Source organism: Homo sapiens, chromosome 6, assembly GCF_000001405.40.
Source record: "Homo sapiens chromosome 6, GRCh38.p14 Primary Assembly".
In the NCBI taxonomy this organism is placed as follows: Eukaryota; Metazoa; Chordata; class Mammalia; order Primates; family Hominidae; genus Homo; species Homo sapiens.
In genome coordinates, this window is record NC_000006.12 from 90,605,232 (window position 1) to 90,620,740 (window position 15,509).

Genomic DNA, 15,509 nt, shown 5'->3' on the forward strand with positions numbered 1-15,509 from the left:
TCTTTGTTGTTTTAGATGGCGTGTAAACAGATTCTTAGTCTACTCTTGTCCCTTTTAGACTTCAAACCTTCTTGGATTCAAGGAATTAATTTTCCCCCCGATATTTTATTATTAAACATTTCAAACATACATCAAACTTGAAGTAAGTTTACAGTGAATACCCAAATGTCTGTCACCTAGAGTCTATCATTAAAATTTTACTCTGCTTGTTTTATGCATCTCCATCCATCTATTTAGCCCTTTATCCACCCATTACTACATCTTAATTTTTGATGTATTTACTAGTGAAAGTAGATTGCAGTCATTGGTACATTTTCCCCTAAATAGTTCAGCACTGATAACATTAACAAGAATTCAGTATTTTAAACATATTTTTCTTCTGCGAAAAATTTTACATACAATAAATGCACATATCTTTAGTATACATTCACTGAGTCTCAACAAATGAATATACCTTTATAAATGAAAGCCTATTATATTATAAAACATTATCCATCATCCCAGAAAGTTCCCTCATACCCCTTCCCTGTCAATCCCTACCCCAAATGCTGGAGACCAGGGCTGTTGTGTGTTTTTTTTTGGGGGGGGGGAGGAGGGGGAAGGAGAGTGGGAGTTTATTCTATTATAGTTTCAAGACATTGTTTTATACCAACTGGAGTCATTAATGAGTTCTCAAATAATCTTTCTTTGATAGTGATCTATTCTTCTCATGATTCAGATAGAAAGAACTCTGCTTCCAAAATTCAAACTCAGCCAAAGCTTGAAAGAAAGAACTTAGCACAACAAAGCCAGTGTCAGCTTCATAATGACTTTCTCCAGTTGGGCCTACTGTTATGTTATCTAACTCACATTTCCTTAGGTCGCACCAGATACAGGATAAAAATGAGGTCATAGGGTCACAGTTTCACACTAACAAAAACAAAACAGTACTTCTCTGATTGTCACCTCCCCATCCTCCATCTACCCTCAAGTTATTCTGGCCTCTTAAATTTTTACCAGTGCTTTCAGGAAGTCTCCATAGCTTGCTAACACAGCCAAAATCATTCCTCTAATGAGACTGGCTCATTATCCTTTGTTGGGTCAAACCTGTACTATAAAAGTCTCTGTTAACCTAAAGATGAGTTATTTTCCAGGAGCACCTTTTACAAATAGACCTTTGGTAGCCAAATCTTTTTTTTTGGTTTTTTTTTTTTTTTTTGAGACGCAGTCTTGCTCGTCCTCCAGGCTGGAGTGCAGTGGCGCAATCTCGGCTCACTGCAAGCTCCGCCTCCCGGGTTCACGCCACTCTCCCGCCTCAGCCTCCCGAGTAGCTGGGACTACAGGCGCCCACCACCATGCCCAGCTAATTTTTTTTTTGTATTTTTAATAGAGACGGGATTTCACCGTGCTAGCCGGGATGTTCTCCATCTCCTGACCTCGTGATCCGCCCACCTCGGCTTCCCAAAGTGCTGGGATTACAGGTGTGAGCCACCGCGCCCAGCCTGGTAGCCAAATCTAACTTGTCCTCTAAATATGCTCAGACTTGTCGAAATTTTCTGTGGGTTCACAGCTCAGCTTAGTCTTGGTGTCTCCTACTACTATCACAACTGACATCCTTGAAAACTAAACCATTGCCACACCTTTTTTCTAGCTCTTATTCCTCCACTACAATAAAAAACACTTTATGTTAGCTTTTAGCTTTCATACATATCTTTTCATGTATTAAAGTCTGTACAGACTTTGAGATTGGCATGCCTGAACTACCTTCTGTGTACTAAATTTGGACTCTTATAAAGCATCTTATCGGCAATGATTTTGAAATTGTAGTAGGTTGGTGTTGATTGCCAGTCAAAAAGTTAGCTGCACTCATGTTCTTGGCTTTATCCAAACAACTATATTTATTTATATATTTGAATATTCTATTATATTTTCTCCTTACTTCTCATTATTTGAAAAATGAATCCACAATAGAAAAGTGAAAGGGCTGGTAAAATACAAATGCCTAAGTATCTTAATAATATTTTAATAATAAATTTGGGACAAAGACTAAAATGAGCTGAAAGCAGTGACTTGTCAATCTTGAAGTTTCATTAGTCTTAAGTGGTTTGTCCGTGTGTTGAGGTATATTAAAAAAAAAGAAAAATGTATGTGGGATGCTTTAGAAATATATCGTAAAAGATTGGGCTTAAAAGGTGAAGTATAATGAGAGAGAAGACGGTGTAACATTTTGTAGCTCTTTGGGAAGAAAACCCACTGTTAAAATCACTTATTATAATTTACTTTTCCTATTACTATTTTTCATAATTTATAATGGCATATGTACCATGTGATTATCCAGTATAGATTTCTCTCACTATACTATAATCCCCCTGAGTATTTTTTTATTTTAAACACTCTTCCATGAGAAATTAGCAAAATGACTAGCACTTGGATCGATTCAATAAATGTGTTCAATGAATTAATGAACTTGTGTGAATATTCCTATAGAAAAGCTACCTTGATGTTAGGTTGAAAGACATGAATATTTTAAATATCGATGGATGCAGCCAAGTAGCTCTCCAAAAAAGCATAAATCTCATTTGTGTGGTACTGGAAAAAAAATCTTAAAAAGATGTAGGTTTATTTGTTTCCCAGTAAAGAAATTAATACGAAACTATGCTTACAAAAATCCTATTCTGTTGTATTTAAAATGTTCTTTCAGGAAAAGTATATTGTATTGAGAAATTATGTTTTAAAAATTTGCAGTTGTTACTTCTTATAAGTTGATGGTGTGGTTTACTCTGAGGAAGAAACATTTAAAAAACCTGAAACTTGTATGTATAGATGTTGGCCAGGTGAAAAGTGTAGGAAATATTTTTTTAAGTAGAGGAAAAATCCAAATATTCAACAGGAAGGATGAGATTAAATAAGTTATACACATCCATACCTTGAATACCATGGAGTCATTGCAAGGAATGAGGTGGTTCTGTAGCTACTGACACAGAAAGATGTTGTTATGTTATTGAGAAGAAAAAACACAGGTATATAATCCTGTTTTCTTGAAACAAACCAACAAACAAACAATCAAACACTGTTGTGGGTGGGCATGTGTATGCACCCATACAGGCCTGTGCCTGTGCACACAGGGAAACTGTCTAGGAAGATACAAATCAGAACGTTAACTGTGTTACTCCTGGGGAGTGAAAGGGTTGGGGTTATGAGAAGGAGATTTTTAGTTTAATGTACTTCCATTTTAATTGAAAAACGTTTTCCAACCTATGTACATTTTGTAGTGAATGAATCTTTTTAAAGAAGAAAAGAATGTAGTATGTGGAAGCATGGTGGGCTGCTCCTGAAGTGCATTTGTTAATAAACTTGCAGGAAGCATCAGGACATTTCTTACGACATTTATTTATTAGACTTATACAAAATTAGTTGGATTTTTAAAGCCACAGAGCCTGTTGTTTACATTGAATTGTAGGCAGAATTCCTAAATGTGAAAACGATGAAAGCAGACTTGCTTGGTGGAAGCTGCGAGTGAGGGGCCTCTCTCGGTGTTTCCCTCCCCTCATAATCTTTTGACAGCCCCTAGGGCTCTGCTGAACACAGTTTGAAATACACTGGTCTCTTCCTGGGATGCTTTTGATTTAGTCCTTCCTGAAGGTCAGAGGGATATACCAGCCCTGTGATTCTAAAGCACAAAGAATAAAGAATGCCTACAGGTAACCCCTGAATTCCCTCTTGCCTCACGGAAAACACGTTTAGAGCAGGAAACATTCATGTCATTTAAGATATTTCCAGATGTACAATAGATGAGGAGCAGTTTTTGTTTTGCATTTCTTGGCTCTGGAGTCTTACAATTTTACTTTTTAAAATTCAAGCTTTATGATCTGTGCCCTCTTTATATCCTGAAAGTGGCTAGAACGGTTTTGTTAAGGTAACAATTGTTGAGTTCTATAAATGTCTGGCTGCTCCACCCTTCTTAGATATAATGAGACAAACAACTTTAATATATAAAAATTGCTTTGTATTTATCTAAAAATGTTTTTTCCAAGTCCAAGCAATTGAAAAAAAATATATTTTTAAAATGCATAAATTGTATTTAATACTGAAATCAAAGCTAATTTTAAAACAATTATTATTCTGTTAGAATGTGCTAACGGTTTTATATTTACTATTTCATGCCTAACATTTGACGTTTGATTTATGGGATTATTTGCAGCATTAAGAGTAAAATTTCTTAATATCACATATTGTTATGTTTAACTTTCTAGTATAATCTTAAAAGTTTTAATATGAACATGCCAGTGTGTTAAAAATATTAGAGAAAGCATATTATCACAACTAAATTTTTGCTTTGAGCCCCAAATGTCTTTGTTTTTATTTTAATTTGTGTGTGTGTGTGTGTGTGTGTGTGTGTGTGTGTGACTGTAGTATAGGGAAATAAAACCACCATAATATTGAAGGAGAAAAAAATCTCTCTTCCCCACAAGGTGGTACTGTGGTTCTTTTACTTTTTCCAAAATCTTTACCTAGAACTGCTATTTCCCCACTTGTCTTCCTCCCCCCACCTTTTACAGGTGATCTTCAATTAGATTCTAATAAAAATGAGAAATAATTTCAAAGGAAACCTGTTACTTTTAGGTTTGAAGTAACTTGCAAGCAACTAAAAATTATCTTCTTAGCCTTCTTTACAAGAGTTTTTTTTTCCTTAGCTTTTTTCTTCTTTTAAAAAAGTTCGTGTACATACTTTGGTTATAGTTTACGACATTTTATAATCTTTGTGTTATATATACTATGATAGTGTATACAGTGTGGTTTTTGGTTGTAAAGAAATAACGTGTATTTTTAAGTATCTTTAAAATGTTTCAATAAATGAGTATAAATGCAGCTCATCTTTAGGCAATTCAACTTGGTGGTGTTTTAATTTTCTCTCTTAACCAACTTTCATAATTAAGAACTTGATCCAAACCTCATTTCTACAGGTAAAAGTTACGGAACATGGTTTTTAAAAAAACACAAGTCAACATTGTGCTTTTAAATAATATGTTCATATTTGACTATGGAACATCATATACGATTTCGTTTTTCTCTGTACCAAGGACCAAGAGGAGTATTTGGAAGTCTGGGCTCCAGTCTCAGCTCCCCACTCGGCTCGTCGGTCGCGGGCCGACGTTCCTCCAGCCCTCGCATGGATTTCTGGGCCTGGTGTTGGGGACATGGTGACAAAGAAGCCACGGTGGCTCCTGTCCTCAGGGAAGCCGTGGTCTCAGAGGTCCCACGTAGCAGAAATTTCATGGTTGGAAATGGTGCGAAGGGGACGTGTGTCTTAAGACCGTGTTTGTGTAGTAAGCCGAGTTCTTTCTTGACTGTCTGTTTATTTGGGATAGCCCGGCGAGGGGGCGCTGGAGATTATGGGGGTGGGGGCGGTTTCTTGGGGAGGCCTGGGTCTATGGAGTGGAAACCAATCTTTGATGAATTTGGTCACAATAACGAACACGGGAGAAAAAGGAGAATTGAAAGGAAATGGATTCTGCGAGAGACTGGGGAGACAAAACCAAGAGGAAAAACACAGAATCAAAAACGACAGGAAACACTAGAGAAGAGTAGGCAGAAAATAGAGAAGAGGAAGAAACGAGTCGGACGGAGACGGGGCCGGGCACTGGGAGCTTGAGGCTGGGTCTCCATCCTTCCTTTCATCCTCTCGGGAGCCCGCAGAGACGGCGGCTTCAGTCTCGCTTTACGGGTGGGAAAGCAGCGACCTTGAGAGGTTAGGTGACTGCTCAAGGTCACCGAGCTAAGTGCCAGAGCCAGGATTCTCACCGCTCCTCACCCCAGATCGGGGCTCCGGCCAGACCACGCTGGCCGCCGGGGGAGAGGACGCGCGGGGCGGGCAGAGCGCGGCCGGGGGCCGGGAAGGAGCCGGCGCCAGGCGCGCGCGGAGGAGGCGGCCGGGCGGGGAGCCATTTCCTCCCCAAGCAACGGCGCTTTTCAGGGGCGCGACCGGGAAGCCTCTCTTGGCGTCCCTTCCCCAGCCGCAGTTTGGGCAGGGGAGCGAGGGCCGGGAGGCGTCTAGGCTGTGGCGAGGGGAGAAGCATCCCCCATCCCTCCGCTCCCCGTCTCGCTCAAGCTCTTCCTGCGCCACGGGCAGGTCTCCCAGCCTCGCCATCGCGGGGCGTCCCCGTCCCGGCCCACACCTCTTTCCTCTCCAGCCACACCGGCGCGCCCCGAGGGTTGCAGGCGGGGGCTGCACCGGGTTGAAGCCCAGTCAACCACACGTCCCAGGGCTTAGGCGCCGGGCGGGGACAACGTGTCTGCCTGGGCTCAGACGCTGCTAGGGGGCATCCCTGTCGGTGAGACCAGACTCAGACACGAGGGGGCCTGGGCTATTACAAACCTCAGGGTAACTTACAGGAATATACACAAATACACAAGACTAGCAACGTTTGTACCTCAGGGGGCAAATCAAAACAATCACAAGGACGAATCTTGCCCAGTCTATATTGTAAATCGATGCAGTTGCATATTATGAGCACCCCATTCGAAGAATAGCTCCTGCCAGTCCTCAGTGATTATTCAATGATTATCAATTGACGAGACACCTTTCACCTGAAAATGGCTTGTCTGCATTGTCTTTCTTCTCAGAGAACTGCGAATTAAAGTTTCTTTGTTAGGGAGAACAAAGAAGAATCCAAATTATTTTAAGGAGGCTTTAGCATTTGACTTGGCAAACCGTTTTGCTAAAGATCAACCCTTCGCTCTGTGGTTCGCCCCCTCTCTGTCACAGCCTCACAGCCGAGTTGTCTTTGAAACAAGACTAGAGCTCCTGGTGGGTTTGGGGGCTCCCTCTTCTAGAGGTGAGCAATTTAGAGCTAAGGGGAAATTTAGAAGCCGCGTAACAGACCCGTTAACATTCACATCGGAGGCAACTGAGGCCTGCAGAAGTTAAGGCTGTCTTGCCAGTTTGTGCCAAAGCTGGGACCTGACACCGGGTCCGGGCCTGGTGCTGTGCGCGTTCGTTGGAGCAGCGGTTCCCAGTGCTTCCCTCCACGTGGGCGCGCACCCCACGCTCATCCTTCCTCTTGGGAGCCCAGTGAAAACTCCTTTCTTGAAAGTTTGTCAAGAAGGCAATGTCTCTTCCTTTTCATTTAAAAAATTATTTTCTCTCGCTGTCAGATTCATTCTGACATAGATCAGGAGTGGAAAAGTGTGTGGTATAGAATAGAGTCATTAGTAAATCCATCTCGTTTTTTGTTTCATTTGACAGCAACACATTAAATTAATCCCTGTCCAAAAGAATCACATTAAGGGAGCTGTCAATGCTAATCCCTAGCTCATTGTTGCTGCCTAGCTCAGGGTTGACTTTAATAGGTCGCGCTGACATTTGTTTCTTCTGAGAAACATCGGTGACTTCATCCAGACCCAAATCTACTCCCATTAAAAAGTGAAGGCACCCACAAGTTTTTACATACCGTGAATTCTCTGGACTTCTAGTTTAGGATTTGAGCTCTTGTTGGAAATGTTGATTCACATTTATGCCTTTAACGGAATAAAGGTGATTATGACAATAAAAAGTAAGGTAGACTCCTCCCCGAGGAAAAAACCTGATTAAAAAATTAAAAATAAAATGATGTTGCTATTTTTATACCTATTTTTTAGCATCCTGTATTAGTCACTACTGTTGTCTATATACCTGATTGTGTACAAACCAGATTTAAGATTAAAAAAGAAAAAATAAAATTATTGAGAGGAAAATAGATTATATTATATAGACTAATGAAAGAAGGGTTTGGAGAGAGGCAGGGATGAGAGAACCTGGAGACAGATAAGATTAAAAGATCTATAGAAAATGTAGAAAAAAAAAGGAAATTTACTGGCAAATCCAGGTAGTAATTTAGATAGGAAAAATTTAGGCAGCACGGAAACTAGGAAAAATATATTACAATAAGATTAAAACATTTATTTAACCAACATTTACAAAGTATGATAATAATATGTTTTCTTTAAACGTGATCTCTCTGTTTCTCTCCTCTTTACCTCTGCACCCCTCCCCCCAATGATGTGGATTATTTAGCTTTGTGCTTATGACATTTATGGATTCCAGATCTGACAATCATGTATTAGCCTTTGTCTGGGCAGTGAAGAGAAAGGGGAGGACTGATCCAATCTTAAATCATTTGACCCGTTCTTAAAATATACTTCCCACCTGATTATTCTTATTTTTATAGCTATTTGGCAAGGTTTAGAAGACAGAATGGGAGCTAAAAATTGATAAATGATGATCCATTATTGAACAAGCTTATATCGAGTAATTATTGTACAAATACTACAGATTTGCGATATTCATGCATACCAGAAAAGAGGTATGTATATGTATATTCTGTTTTTACTGATTGAACCATGCTTTATTCATATTGCAAAGTGATACTGTGAATCTTTTTGTCAAGCACAAACTCACTTTTGCCTCATTGTTTTGCCCTGAAAATCTGTATTTTCAAGTAAACATGGTGTAGCAGTAATTTTTACTCTCAGGATTTTTGCTATTTCAATTTTAATTACAATTTTGTTTTACATTTGTATATATATATATATATGTATATATATATGTATATATATTATATATATATATATATATATTTCCTTCTGCTTTCTTTGTCTCCTGAGCATCATCTCTGCTCTGTAGGGGTGAAGATTTTCTTTTTATCTTTTTTTTTTCCCTGATACGGAATAGGTGTACATATTTTGGGGAAAAATATATTTTCTTCTACTCATCCTAGGTTCATGGCTGAAGCCCATATAACAAAAGACAGATTAACAAGAGATAAACGTACAAATATATTAAATATAAGTTTTATATGACATGGGAAAATGTCATATCATAAGGAAATGAAGACCTGAAGAACAGTGAAACCTGACTGTTTTTTTCTGGTAGGTTTGGTGAAGAGTGGACATCTGCGGAGAAATATGATAGGACACATAGGGTTTGAGCTAAATATGATAAACTCAGGGAAATTTAGCAAGGACTTTTGATTCTGATTTCTCTCTTTCTACAGAGATAAAGATGTTCTTTTCTCCGAGTATAAGGAGGACGCTTCTCACTTGAGGCTCTTATGACCTCCTTTGAGGGCAGGTCAGAAAATCCTTCCCAGGTTTATGATCTGCTTCAGGGGAGAAGGATGGGAACAGATCAGGGAGACCTTTCTGCTTTTGCCATTTTCTCAAATTATTTTAGCTTAAATTATTCCTTCAGCTCAACATATGCCAAGGTTCCATATTTTGGGGTAGCAAATCTTAAGCCCCATAAGAACATAACTACTTTTGAAATTGCTTTTATGCAGTCTGCAAAACACAGTTTCATCGTGCTGTCTATTGAACGCTATTTTATTTACCTGAATGAAAATAGACTAAGGTTTTGGTGGTCCAAACAACAAGACTATAAAGGATCAGTGAGAAATGAACTATGCATACATTCAAGACCCTCCAGACAAATGCCAGGAGTATGAGGAATAAGAAGTTAGATTCATATTGTGTCAGTGGACTAAAACCTGTTTGACATTTTAGAAATTATTAGGTTAGAGCAGACATGAATGGAATGTTAAAACTCAAAAAACTCTGAACTTAACAATACCCTGTACTTGGCACAATGTATTGTACATAATAGGCATTCAGTAAATAACCCTTAAATCAATAATGAATGTGTGTTAAGCATGTATCGGGGAGGAAATGCATGGTGGAATGATCCAGATAGGAAGCAAAAGAGATGGCCAGAGCAGGTGGCAGAGTTGGCCTTGTGCATTGTAGAAGTGGGTGTAGCTGGTGGTACTTGGCTGGATTGAAATGACTGAGGAGCTGGCTCTGTGAATAAGGTAGAGGGTAAAGCCAGCAGGTAGTAATGCAGTGGGTATGTAAGTACTTATTTTTTAGAAAAGTATTCATATACACTGTTCACTATATTCATGGTCAGACATGAGCTTTGCCTTCAAGGAACTTATATTTCAAAGGAGAAACGTGTTCAAATTTAGGTAACTCAAACATCCTCCCATAGAAAAATGTGTATGTGGAGGTTCTTGGCTTAGCCCTCAAAGGCAGTGGAACTTGTGTCACTGTGGAATGATGTTGTGCCAGGAAATGACTTTCAGTGATTGAACCCCTGAGTGTACTGCATGGTTCCCCTTTATGCATCCTGGAAGGACTGATTATTCCTCTTCTCCTTCCTGTTAGGCAGAGGAAACAAGGAATGCCCTAACGACAAACCATAGGTGGTGGAGACACCACTGGCAGGCAAACTACTGGCAGGGTCTAGGGTTTGGGGTGAGGTCGGTTTAGTGGCGGCTGCAATAACAGTAGGGTTGGGGGTGTGGAAGAACTTTCTAGTATAAGTAAACCTGCAGCTATTCTCTGAAGTCTCAGGCCATTTCCTTATATCCCATCCCTTGCACCAAGCCCCCTACTGTTCTTTGCTTCACTGGCTCAAGGGATGGTCGTCCTGCTTTCCTTTTCCACATCTGCCTCCTGTGGTTTTTGTCTGGGGTTTTCTCCATCTTGTGGAATAGAGTCCAGATTCACTGCCTTTGCTGTATCACCAATCTGACCCTGAGGAAAACACAGCATTTTTGATTTTTAAAAAGGATTGTTTTTGTTAGAAATAATGGGAGTGAAGGGAAGAAATATACGTGAAAGAGTACCCCCATTTTCTCTTTCTTTTATACACTTGAACTTGCATGTAAACACTAATACAATATATATTGATGAGATGTGTTTCTCAAGGTATGTAAAGGACTGAAATCAGAGGTACTGAAGTTTCAGACCTTACTTCTCTAGACATTTGTCACAGGAGTTGGAGGAGAGGTCTGGGGTGAACAAGGCCTCTGAAGATGGGGAAGATCTGGACAGGGATGTGAGTGTTGCCAGCAATATAGAGCCTTGGACTGGGTGGTGTAGGGTCAGGGAAGAGGGAGGCAGTTGTGGAAACTTCACCTTTCACTCAGCTTTCCTCACTTGCTGCTGCTTTTGAATACAGGCTCCCCTCTCTCTGTGGGGGCAGGTAAGAAATGGGGCACATACACAGGATTGTTTCTAAGTGCTAATGATTTTCTCTGAGCTATCAATGACCTCTCACTATTGACCTGTGGCATATTTCTGCGATGCTGTTGTCTGGGTTAGTAAACTGGGCTGTGGGATAGAAAGAAGATCCAAGGAGGGGGGAAAGATTCAATATGTGAATCTATATTCTTTTAGTTTTGTCATATTGCTTCTAAGCTTATTGCAAAGACTGTAACTGACAACTACAACTCATTTTCAAACTTAAATTATATCTGTGTAATTTAGGTAGAAAGCCCCTGGGCAGGTATGGCACCTTTTTTCTGTGCTTGACAGGGTACTGAGCATACCGAAGGCATTTAGCAAATAATGATAATAATTTAAAGCAATGGGAGAATTGGGTGTACAGGGAGATAAGAAACAGGGACCCACTAATAATGAATACTGTCTCGGGAGGTGGTCCCACTGTTTTTGGATTTCAAATCCCCTTGTTCAATTTCTTGCTGGAGCAAATTCTACACAAAAAAGAATAATCTTTAATTTGATACTTAGTCACTTCAGTGTCCTGTGCTGAGCTGGTTAAGATTGCATATTCTTATGAAAATATATGCATTCATAATCAGTCAGATAATGTAGCTCCCCAGGGCTTCTAAATGCAAAAGCAAGAGATCATATATTTAGATACGTGGCTTCAAAGTCACAGGATCATCTGAGAAGTTCACATTCCTCATTTTTTACTTTTTCTTCATGGAATTGAAAGGAAAACAACATCACAAAAACTTCTAATGAAATACATAATAAAACAAGGCCCAGCATTCACAAGTTAAGGCTTCACTAGAAGTGAATTCTTGTCCTTTTGTGTGATAGGTTGAATTGAAACACATTGTAATAAGATAACAGGATAAATGGAGTATGCCTTTGATTTTAAGGCTTAATTACCAATTATTTTTCAGCCTCTTATGCTCACACCCTGGAAAGTTGGGGTCTTCCTTTATTTGTTTGGGTTAACATACTCAGAGACCATGGAATAGACTAGCCCATAAAAAGGTTAGAAAGAAGGTACAATGTTTCTCATATGCCCATCATTTCTTTCAGTGTGTTCTTTTTTCCCATTTCTGGTACACCCCTTACCACCTGCCTTGGGTTTGGTTTAAACTTTCTTCTCTTCTCCATATCAAAGCTTATGAATCTTTGCTTTTCTGAACTGACCCTATTCCATTTAGATTCCACTTTCTTAATATTTTTGAAACCTTCCTCTTCCCTATTCCTCTTTGCCATGGTCTTATTTTGAGTCTGCACCACCTTTTGTCTGAATTACTGAAATAGCTTCTTGAGTGGTGTGTCCTGTCCATCCGTCACCCTGCTGTTAGAGTTTTCTTTCTAAAACACAGGTCTGCTTTTGTCTCTCCTCTGCTTAAATATTTTGACACCCTGCCTTCATCAGCTGTAGGGTAAAAATCATACTCCTTAGCACAGCATAAAAAGTGCTTCCTCATCTGGTCCCTGGCTATCTTCCCAGCTTCATAAATTGCCTCTTGGCCATGCATCTTTATACATGGGTCTTTATGGGCTATTTGTGGGCTGCTTTGCTCCATCCATACCTTTGAACATGTCATAGACTGCCTTTTTCCCTTTGTTTCTCTGAAAGATGCCTACCTTTCCTTCAAAGCTCACCTTGAAATTATCTTACTGTCCTGGAGAGGACAAGTGTCTACTTCTCATCACCACACTTTCTTTTAAGAGAATGTGTCCTTAGACCTGGTGTACATTAAGCCAGATTCTCTTTCTAAGGAATTGATATGGAGATACAGAGCAAGTAAATTTGTTGGCTATGGGTGTTGGATGAATAAGGTCTCATGGTCTTAAAGGTCTCATAGTCACACGTGCAAGCCAAGAGAGCTGATCTGTGGAAAAGAGTAGGAAAATGAAGCAGATTGCAAGAAAAAACATATATGAGAGATATTTGGGGGCCTAAGAAAGAGAGAATGAGTAGGATACCATTTTGGTTCCTGTTGGCTTATCAATTCCTGTTTGAGTTCCTCTTGAGACTGCAATTTCTTATTAGATACTCTTAACTCTTTATGCTACTATCTCCTTTATTTAACTGGCCAAAGTGAATTTTTTTTAATCAGACAATTCCTTATTAAGACTCATTTATTACATGCAATTAAATGATTTGTATGTAGTACTCTATCTTCCTTAACAGACAGTAAACCACTTGTGGGTAGAGACATTTTATAAAATTTATCTTGAGATTCCCAGCAATTAGTCTAGCTGTGGTTGGTTGACAATATATGTTTGGATGAATGAAAACGAATCCTATTTTTTTAATGTCCTAACAAAGAGCTTATGAAATTGCAAGGTTGGTTTTACTATCATAGTGGATGACAAAGTGTTAGGACTTCCAGTAACATACCTGTATTTTAATAAGGGCTGTCTGGAACAAATCCTTTGAGGTACAGGAAAAGCCATAAAAGTAGGCATTTGTCAGTATTGAATTTCATGGGGAGGCATTTTGGGAGTCTTTCAACATCTCTGAAATGATTATATATCTTTGTTTAAGGACAGCAGGGTGTAGGGGCAGCAACAGAAGGAACTGTCTGAGGGACAGAAGGACTCCTCTGCAGGAGCTGATTGAGTGAAAACCATGACTGGGACCTCACTGCCCAGAACTGCATTTACTTCATTCCAAATAGTTTTAGATAAGCACTGATTATCCAGGAAAACCAGAAATAGTCTTGGTAAAACCAATCAAATGCTGAGTTATTTGAGATAATATCACTGTGGGAAACTTTACTCCGAATCAGTGTATTGCTTTTAAAATATTGGTGTCTCTAATAATCCACTCTTACATACTTTCTATTTTGGTATTACTGATTAAATGCCAAGAGACATCAAATGAATGCTTTTTTTTCTATGACATAAATTAAAGGGGATATTGTTATATTATAGCTGAGACCTCACTATAGGAAAAGCAAATGAGATGGATCATTGAAATGAGCTTGAGATGAGTGTTTGCTTCCCCCAGATTTTACCTTCCAAGATATTTGGGTCATTAGAATTCTTGATCTCCCCTTTTTAATCACAAGCTGTACACTTGTACTTTCTTTCCCCCCCCCCACTTTCTGGTATTACTAAGCCTCCCTCTTCTCTTCCTGGTTACACCAAACCAGGGCCATGAAACTGTCATTTCTCAAGCTGCTATCCTCGCTGGCTGACATTCCTGTTGGGGCAGATGCCTTTGAGAACATTGGACTTTGAGGGACCAAAGCCTGTTTGAGGCAAAGCTTCTTCTAGACAAACCTTGAAACAGGAATGCATTCCTTGTTAATACTATTTCTGGTAAATGGGCTAAGCGTTAGAGGCTAGCTTTGTTTAAGAACTTAATCACTTCTACTTGTGGTTTGAGGTGATGTTCCTTTTATGTTAAATGTAATTATAATAGGGCAGAGGTGCAGTGTGGGCATGTTGTTGTATAAACATATACATTTATGAATGCTTAACAGATTCTGGGCTTATTGTAAGGTTTATTTCTCCCTTGTGAAAATGTTGCTCAGCTCTAGTAAAATGTATATGCACTATCCTCCAGAGAATCTGTGAACATGGATGGAGGTTAAACAGCTGGACAGAATGCCAATGTTTTAAATTATAGCTGGGAATCAAAGCTGGAGAGCAAAAAGACCTCCTTAGCTTTAAAGGTAGCCAATTAAGTTGCAAACACTATTGATAACAGTTGCTTTATTCAGAGGCTTATTATATAAAACACCATGCTGTCTTGAAACTGAAGAGGTTGCCTTGCAATCGTCTCCATAATCCATAATTGAAAGAATCATAAATGTAACAATTATTTCCCACAATGATTGCTTTCACAATTTCTTGTTCTCTGCAGGATCCTTGTTTTTTGTTTTTTTTTCTTTCAGCTCATTGCAACAATCACACAATTATAGTGTGATTCATATTTAAGATTAAATTTTGCATGTCTACTGAAGTATATAAAATCTCTATTTTCATAATTATGAACTATATATATCAGTCAACTTTTAAAGTAAGTAGTATTAATTGCAATATATGCTCTATAAGTGTTATTTATTTAGCTTAAATTTTACAAGCCTAATCAATGACATAAAGCAGAGTGATTAAAAGTAATTTTAAGATGGACATAAATAGTACAATATTTGAATTGGGAAACTTAATCTGTATGATGGAAAAGAGATAAGAAATAAAAACAATTCTCATGTGGTGTATTTAATTTAACCTTAAAAATTATGTCATCCTCCAGAAGCTATTTCTGGCTTTAAGTGCTTTGAAATGTTTAGTAATGAACTAAATGAAGCTTTTTTGGGAACCCTGATTTAACAGAGTATAGGTTGAGTTTTAGGAGAGGGAAAAAGCTCTCTCTCTTCTTGCCTACTCCCTACTCCACCTCAAATCTAATGAAGAGAAGAGAGAGTGAAAGCAAGTAGGGAAGAGGAGAGGAAGAACTAAAGGAGAGTGAGGGAACAGTTCCAGAG

General features: G+C 39.0%; 4 annotated features.

Annotated features, from left to right (window-relative positions):
* Positions 4,650-5,150: an enhancer, noted in NCBI's record as "H3K4me1 hESC enhancer chr6:91319600-91320100 (GRCh37/hg19 assembly coordinates)". NCBI's record gives its function as "activates a minimal SCP1, AML or CMV promoter by ChIP-STARR-seq in naive H9 embryonic stem cells {active_cell/tissue: H9 hESC(naive)}" and the evidence as "EXISTENCE:reporter gene assay evidence [ECO:0000049][PMID:30033119]".
* Positions 5,151-5,651: an enhancer, noted in NCBI's record as "H3K4me1 hESC enhancer chr6:91320101-91320601 (GRCh37/hg19 assembly coordinates)". NCBI's record gives its function as "activates a minimal SCP1, AML or CMV promoter by ChIP-STARR-seq in naive H9 embryonic stem cells {active_cell/tissue: H9 hESC(naive)}" and the evidence as "EXISTENCE:reporter gene assay evidence [ECO:0000049][PMID:30033119]".
* Positions 5,839-5,908: a silencer, noted in NCBI's record as "silent region_17401". NCBI's record gives its function as "represses an Ori minimal core promoter by ATAC-STARR-seq in GM12878 lymphoblastoid cells {active_cell/tissue: GM12878}" and the evidence as "EXISTENCE:reporter gene assay evidence [ECO:0000049][PMID:35858748]".
* Positions 6,609-7,557: an enhancer, noted in NCBI's record as "NANOG-H3K27ac-H3K4me1 hESC enhancer chr6:91321559-91322507 (GRCh37/hg19 assembly coordinates)". NCBI's record gives its function as "activates a minimal SCP1, AML or CMV promoter by ChIP-STARR-seq in naive H9 embryonic stem cells {active_cell/tissue: H9 hESC(naive)}" and the evidence as "EXISTENCE:reporter gene assay evidence [ECO:0000049][PMID:30033119]".